Source organism: Homo sapiens, chromosome 22, assembly GCF_000001405.40.
Source record: "Homo sapiens chromosome 22, GRCh38.p14 Primary Assembly".
Taxonomy (NCBI): Eukaryota; Metazoa; Chordata; class Mammalia; order Primates; family Hominidae; genus Homo; species Homo sapiens.
Genome location: NC_000022.11, coordinates 11474273 through 11482796, shown reverse-complemented (window position 1 = coordinate 11482796; position 8524 = coordinate 11474273). Strand labels below are relative to the sequence as shown.

Here is an 8524-nt window from a genome sequence, read left to right as displayed (position 1 = left end):
AGAGAGTGGAATGAAATATTAAGCATGCTGAGAGAAAAAAAATCAAATTAGATTTCAGTGCCCTGTGAGATCTTCTTTCAAAAGTAAATGAGAAATAAAGCATTCCTTGGACAAACAAAAGTTGAGGAAACTTGTTACCAGCAAATGTGTTATGTGAGAATATGTTAAACATTATCTAGACAAAAAAAAAGATACACATCTGAAAACTGAATCTACATTTCATTTATTTTTATTTATTTATTTTGAGACTGAGTCTCGCTCTGTTGCCCAGGCTGGAGTGCAGTGGCACAATCTCGGCTCACTGCAACCTCAGCCTCCCAGGTTCAAGCAATTCTCTGCCTCAACCCCCCAAGTAGCTGGGATTACAGGAGCCCTCCACCACGCCTGGCTAATTTTTTTGTATTTTTATTGGAGACAGTGTTTCACCATCTCTGCCAGGCTGGTATTGAACTCCTAACTTCGTGATCCACACATCTCGACCTCCCAAAGTGCTGGGATTACAGGTGTGAGCCACTACACCCGCCTGAATTTACATTTTAAAAAGAACATTAGAGAAGGAATAAGTGGTGGTAAAATCCCTTTTTTTTTTTTTTTTTTTTTTGAGATGGAGTCTCATTCTGTCACCCAGGCTGAAGTGCAGTAGTGTGATCTTGGCTCACTGCAAGCTCTGCCTTCTAGGTTCATGCCATTCTCCTGCCTCAGCCTCCCGAGTAGCTGGGACTACAGGCACCCACCACCACGCCTGGCTAATTTTGTTTTCGTGTTTTTAGTAAACACAGGATTTCACCATGTTAGCTAGGATGGTCTCAGTTTTCTGACCTTGTGATCTGCCCACCTCGGCCTCCCAAAGTGCTGGGATTACAGGCATAAGCCACCGTATCCGGCTGCTTACTTTTTATTCTTAATTCACCTAACATATAACAGTTTGTATATAATAACAATGTATGCAATTATATACTTTTTTTTCAGACGGAGCCTTGCTCTGTCGCCCAGGCTGGAGTGCAGTGGTGCAATCTCAGCTCACTGCAACCTCCACCTCCTCCCTGGTTCAAGCAATTCTCCTGTCTCAGCCTCCTGAATAGCTGGGACTACATGCGTGTGCCACCATTACCAGCTAATTTTTGTATTTTTAGTAAAGATGGGGTTTCACTGTGTTAGCAAGGAGGGTCTCCATCTCCTGACCTCATGGTCCACCTGCGTCGGCCTCCCAAAGTGTTGGGATTACAGGCGTGAGCCAAGGCACCCAGCCAATTACATACTTTAATATATACAAGGCTATGTATGCTTACATATAAGTGAAACAAATGGCAACAATAACACAAGAGATGGGAATATGAGAGAAGCTGGTATTACATTTCTATTAGAAGGCCGTCAAAGTAACTGAACTAGTATAGTGTTATTTGAAGGTGGACTTGGATTTGTTGCAAGTCTATACTGCAAACTCCAGGGCAACTAGTAAAAACCAAAGTATAAAAATACTAAAAAGAGGAAACAGGCCAGGTATAGTGGCTTATGCCAAGGTAGAAAGATGGCTTGAGTCCAGGAGTTAGAGACTATCCTGAGCAACACAGTGAGACCCTGTCCCTACAGAAAAGGCCAGGTATTGTGGTGCATACTTGTAGTCTAGCTAATTGCATATTTGTAGTCCTAGCTAATTGCATACTTGTAGTCTTAGCTAATGACTTACTTGTAGTCCTACCTAATTGCATACTTGTAGTCCTAGTTAATTGCATACTTGTAGTCCTAGTTAATTGCATATTTGTAGTCCTAGTTAATTGCATACCTGTAGTCCTAGTTAATTGCATACTTGTAGTCCTAGCTAGTTGGGAGGCTGAGGTGGAAAGATCACTTAAACCCACGAGGTTGAGTCTGCAGGGAGCCATGACCACACGACTGCACTCCAGCCTGGGTGAATGCTGTTTCAATTTTAAAAAAAAAGTAATGAGAGGAAATAAAAATCATATAAAATCATCAACTCCATAAAAGGCAGAAAAAGAGTGGAGGACAAAGCAAGAACAAAGAACAATAGGAGTGAATGGAAAATGATATGGCAAAATTAACCCAACTGTATAATCACTTTGAATGTCATGGTCTAAATGCACCAATGAAAAGACTAGTGGTTAAAGCCCATCAAAATAGAGGCACACCTCACTTTATCGAGCTTCACTTTATTTTGCTTGGTAACATCACCTTTTTAACAAATTAAAGATTTGTGGCCACAAAGTGTTCAGCAAGTCTGACCAGCACCATTTTTCCAACACCGTGTGCTCACTTCACATCTGTGTCACATCTTTTGGCAATCTCCACAATCTTTCAAACATTTTAGTTATCACATCCGTTATGATGATCTGTGATCAGTGATTTCTGGTGTTACTATTGGAATTGTCTCAGTGTGCTGGAACTCTATGGAAGACAGTAAACACGATGGAAAAGTGTTGTGTTTGACTGCTTCATTGGCTAGTCATTTCCCTATCTCCATTTCTCTCTTCCAGCCCCCCATTCCCCAAGATACAACAATGAAATTAGGCCACTTCACCCTGCAGTGGCCACCATGTGTTCAAATGAAAAGAAGTGTGCACATCTGTCACTTCAAATTATCAAGCTTAGTGAAGAAAGCATGTTGGAAGCTAAGACAGGCCAAAGCTAAGCTTCTTGCATGAGCTACCCAAGTTGTGAATGTAAAGAAAAAGTTCTTGAAGGAAGTTATAGGTGCTACTCCAGTGAACACATGAATAATTTTTAAAAAACAAAACAGCCTTTTTACTGACACAGAGAAAGTCTGAGTGGTCTGCATAGAAGATCAAACCAGCCCCAACATTCCCCTGAGACAAAGCCTAATCCTGAGAAAGGCCCTAACTCTCTTCAATTCTATGGAGGAGAACAGAGGTGAGGAAGTTTCAGAAGAAATGTTTGAAGCTGGCAGAGGTTGGTACATGAACTTCTAGGAAAACAGCCATATCTGTGACATTAAAGTGCGAAGTATGCTGTAAAAATGGGAACAAGAAAGCCTGCATGATAGCACTTCTGTTACAGCATTGTTAAGACCTTCTTGTTGGTAGGCCAGGAAGTAATGGTCACAATTTTTGTCCATATTATCCTAGACTGAGCATGGAGAAATCTATAATAGTAGCCAGAGAGGTGTACATTGTGTGTTCAAGGGAAAAAAAGTGATTTTGAGGGAATGCATAGCCTGCCTCAGCTACATCAGATTTCTCTCCTATATGGGTTTGTTGATGCCTGCTGAGGTGTGACTTCTGGCAAAAGGTTTTCCCACATTCCTTACATTCATAAGGTTTTTCTCCTGTGTGTGTTCTCTGATGTATACTGAGGCCTGACTTCTGGGAGAAAATTTTCCTACATTCATTACATCTAAAGGGTTTTTCCTCTGTGTGAGTTCTGTGCTGTACAAAGGGTTTTGACTCCTGGGAGAAGGTTTTCTTACATTCAAATGACTTCTCACCTGTGTGAATTCTCTGATGTATGGTGAGAACTGCCTTATGGTAAAAAGTTTTCCTACATTCATCACATTCACAGGGTTTCTCTCTCCTGAGTGAATTCCCTGATGCATATTGAGGTTTGACTTGTGACAAAAGGTTTTCCCACACTCATTACATTCGTAAGGCTTTTCTCCAGTATGGGTTCTATGATGGACAGTGAGGACTGACTTCTGACTGAAGGTTTTTCCACATTCGCTACATTCATAGGGTTTCTCCCCTGTGTGAATATCTGGATGCTTACGAAGATTTGCCTTCTGATGAAAGGATTTTCCACATTCATTACATTCATAGGGCTTTTCCCCAGTGTGAGTTCTCTGATGTATAATAAGGTATGATTTCTGACAAAAAGTTTTTCCACATTGGTTACATCCATACTGTTTCTCCCCTGTGTGAGTTCTCTGGTGTACGGTGAGGAATGACTTGCGATGAAAGGTTTTTCCACATTCATTTCATATGTAAGGTTTCTCCCCTGTGTGAGTTCCCTGATGTGTGCTGAGATTTGACTTCTGACGAACGGTTTTCCCACATTCATCACATTAATTGGGTCTTTCCCCTGTGTGAGTTCTCTTGTGTATCCCAAGGTTTAACTTATTGATAAAGGTTTTCTCACATTCATTACATTCATAGGGTTTTTTGCTAGCATGAGTTCTCTGATGTATAGTTAGAAATGACTTATAACTTACAGTAAAAGGATTTTCCACATTCATTACTTTCATAGGGTTTTTCCCCTGTGTGAGTTCTGTGAGGTACTGTAAGTTATGACTTGTGGCTATATGTTTTTCCACATTTGTTACATGCATATGGTTTTTCCCCAGTATGAGTTTTCTGATGGACAGTGAGGAATGACTTACAGTGAAAGGTTTTCCCACGTTCATTGCATTCGTAGGGTTTTTTGCCTGTGTTAGTCCTTTGATGGACAGTGAGGAACGACTTTTGGTGAAACGTTTTCCCACATTCATTGCATTCATAGGGTTTTTCTAATGTGAGTTCTCTGATGTATCCTGAGGTTTGACTTATTGATAAAGGGTTTTCTACACTCATTATATTCATAGGGCTTTTCCCCTGTGTGTGTTCTCTGATGGACAGTAAGCTTTGACTTATGGCTAAATGCTTTTTCACAATGGTCACATGCATAGGGCTTTTGCCAGGTGTGAGTTCTATGATGTATTGTGAGGTATGACTTCTGGCTAAAGGTTTTTCCACATTCACTACACTGATAGGGCTTTTCCCCTGAGTGAGTTCTGTGATGTAAAGTGAGAAGTGATTTACAGTGAAGTTTTTCCACATTCAATACATTTGTAGGGCTTATCCCCAGTGTGAGTTCTCTGATGTAAAGTGAGGAATGACTTACAGCGAACGGTTTTTCCACATTCATTGCATCCATAGGGCTTTTCCCCTGTGTGAATTCTCTGATGGATAGTGAGGCTGGACTTATAGCTGAACAATTTTTCACAGCAGTTACAGGCATAAGGTTTTTCCTCAGTAGGCATCTTGTGCTGTATCATGAGGTCTGATTTGCTAATGGAGGGTTTCTCACATTCAACACATTCATGGGGTTTCTCTCCTGTGTGTGTTTGCTGATGTTTACTGAAGTCAGACTTTCTACAGCAAGTTGGCTGTCTTACCTGAGTTATCCCTTGGACAATAATAGCTAAGTTATTACAGGCTTTCTCATATTCATTATATTTACCAAAGGTCTGTCCTATATGAACCTTCTTATGTATAAAGAACATTGCCTCCATGTTGAAGGTTTTCCCTTGTTCATTACATTGAAAAGGCTGCAGCAGAGTTTGAATCTTGTGATGCTGAGTAAGATGTTCATGATGTCTGTGGGATCTCCTGGTTATATCAGGGACATGAGGTTTCTCTCTAGACTGTGTCTCACCAGGCTTAATAGGGAAAAGCACGTTCTGGCAAACATTAAACTGCCCAGGCTTCACTCCTGAACTGTTTCCATTATTTATAATCAGATTTAAAACATGGTTTGAGTTAAAATTAAATGTTTTTCCTAATTCAACTCTCTCCTGAGTTGATGTGTTGCTGTTGGTGATTACAATTTGCCAGAAAAATCTATCATGACTTTCATGGCTCCTTTCAATAAGGTCATCAGTGATTTGGACAGCTGAAATGAGAAAAACGTATCCATGAACCACACAGGAGCATGTCTTACAGAATGCTTGTGTAAAGGTGAAAAAAATTACTTCCTATCCCAGTGGAGTAAGATTTGATAAAAATTAATAATGGGTATTGGTTTTATATGCATATGGTTCCTGTTCCTTCTGACATCATGTAATAAATCAGTATATTTTCTAATGTTCAATTGAGTTTTTCTTTGCAATTTGAAGTTTTCCTTTTCTTTTTTATTTCATAAAGAATTATTTGGTAATAATATGCATCTACTTACTACTCATAGGTTTTAATAAGTGCTCATTATCTGTCATTTGTTTTCTCTCTTTTTTTCTATTTATTCATATAACAATAGTGGCTGTTTTAATAGTTGCTATTTTTTCATCATTCTTCTTTGAAGATAGCCAGTTTTTCTTGGGTCAGCAACTGGCAGGTACAGGAGATGGCCATTTTTCTGTCTCCTAAGCATGGAAGTAGCTTGTAGACAGGATTTTGCCTATATGTTAACTTTTCACTCCTCCCTGAGAATGGTTAAATGTGTCTGGAGGTTTTCCAAGCAGAAAATATCTTATTCCCCATGTTAAACATAAACAGATCCTGGCAAATTCCTACTTAAACATGGCATCTCCTGCTTCCCAGAACCATAATAGGCAAAGAAGCTCCAGTCAAAAAACCACACTAGTGATCTGAAGGATTGGTTCTGCAACTCAGTCTGTGCCCGTCATCTTTGAAAAGTGTATTTCTGGTTCCTTCTGAGATCAACAGCTCTGTCCCTCTCCACTCACACACCCCTGCTTAATAATTCACCATTTTTGAAGGGTTTTATTTTGTGTTTTGGAGTTTCAGATGTCACACAGCTATATATAAAAATGAAGTTTCCTGTACATTTCTCATCTTCAAATGGTAACTACAAACTCCACTCTCAAACAGAAATCTGAGCCCTTCAACAGGAAATCATTGGTTTCTTTGGACTTGAGACCCAGAATCTTCTGGTTCTCCTCCCAAGTCCAGCACCACCCCTATCCAGGCCCCTATGATGGGTTCTCCTCAGCTTCATAATTTCTTTCTGAGACAGGATCTTACTCTGTTACCCAGGCTGGAGTGCAGTGTTGCTATCATAGGTCACTGAAGCTTCAAGCTCCTGAGCTCAAGCAATCCTTCCACCTCAGCCTCCCAAGTATAAAAACTGGGATTACAAACCCATGTCACCATACTCAGCTACTATTGTGTGTGTGTGTGTGTGGGTGGGAGTCTAAAAGGATCAATTAAGGCCAGAAGTTCGAGACCAGCCTGGGCAATAGAACAAGACCTCATCTCCACAAACAATAAAAAATTAGCCAGGTGTGGTGGCACACACCTGTAGTCCTAGCTACTTGGGAGGCTAGGCTGTGAGGAACACTTGATCCCAGGAGTTCATCGTTACGGTCAACTATAATCATGCCACTGCACTTGAGTCTGAGAAACAGAGTGAGAACCATCTGTTTAATAAAAAATAAAACAAGAAGAATAAAGCTACAGCTTAAAAAGAAACACTATTTTCATCATCATTGTTATAATGACTGATTCTCAAAAATTGCTTAAGATACATTCAAAGGATAAATAAATGCATAAATGTCTAAAAAAATTTTTTAAGACACTACATCAGAATAGAGGAAAAGGGGGAAATAGAGAAAATAAATAGCAAAGAAAAAGGCCTAAAGAGAGGATGGCAGGGATTGGATTTGGGGTAAATAGAAGAAGATACTCAGAAAAATAAGAGACTGGGATATATGCATGACAGTTACCCCTGGGGACGATATAATGGACATTTAATGCAGACCAACAGTCTTCAGGTCGAAGACCTAGGGAAAAAAGTGGTGAAAACAAGATAACACTACCAAAATCTGCTGGGCATTACTCCTCCAGGCCTCCCACCCCAGTATTCACTGACTGACCTGAAAGTCTCAGGTTTGGTATTTCTTCTACTATCCATGTCTCTGCTCCTTGCTCTAGCTTGAAGATCATCTCAGGTTTGGTAATGCAATGCCCTGGTAACGAGAAACAAGGGAATACTTTGTCAAACCACTAAGTCAAATCCTTTTCAGAATGACAAAAGCTGGGCTTCAGGGACTGTGTAATGAAGGAGCCAATTTGAACATTTCATTAGAATAATGACACATTTTTCATCAACCAGAATCTTACAAGTAAATATTATTATACCTTAAAAGGGTTTCTATATTTACCAACAACAATACACATTCCTGGGAGTTACTGGGAAGTTTCACTCACCCAATGATACCAGGCTGCTGTAGGTCTCCACAATCACGTCCCTGTAGAAGGTCCTCTGAGCATCATCCAGGTCCTGACACTCCTCCCAGGTGAAGTGCAGAGCCACATCTTCAAAGGACACCAACCCCTGTAATGGCACATATTTCCTCAAGTCAAAGCATCAGCCCAGGGTCAAAAGAACAAGAATCTGGGAATTCACTCTTTTGTGTGTCCATGTGTCTTATATGTATTTTAGATAAGACGTAGTTTGTTTTGTACTGTTTATGGTGGGAGAAGGAGTAATCACAGTAGAAATATTCTTCCACTGTAATAACTTATGAATTAATAAAATTATATTACAAAGTTCACCTTATAGATCTAGAAACATCCTTGTTGCTAGGGATAAAAGTATAAACAAAATGCAAGACGCTCTCTCTTCAAAAATAATAAAAAAATATAGGCATAATGCTGGATGCCTGTAGTCCTGGCTACTCTGGAAGCTGAGGCTGAAGGATTGCTCAAATCCAAGAGTTTGACAGTGCAGTGAGTGATGATCACACCACTGCACTCCAGCCTGGCCAACAGAGAGCCTATCTCTCAAAAAAAAAGAGGAATAAAATTCTACTCCTCAAAGGAGCTCATGATCTGGTTAT

General features: G+C 40.0%; 1 pseudogene; it reads right to left on the bottom strand.

Moving 5' to 3' along the window:
* Positions 1–2953: 2953 nt before the first annotated feature.
* Positions 2954–8020, bottom strand: ZNF73P (zinc finger protein 73, pseudogene; annotated as a pseudogene).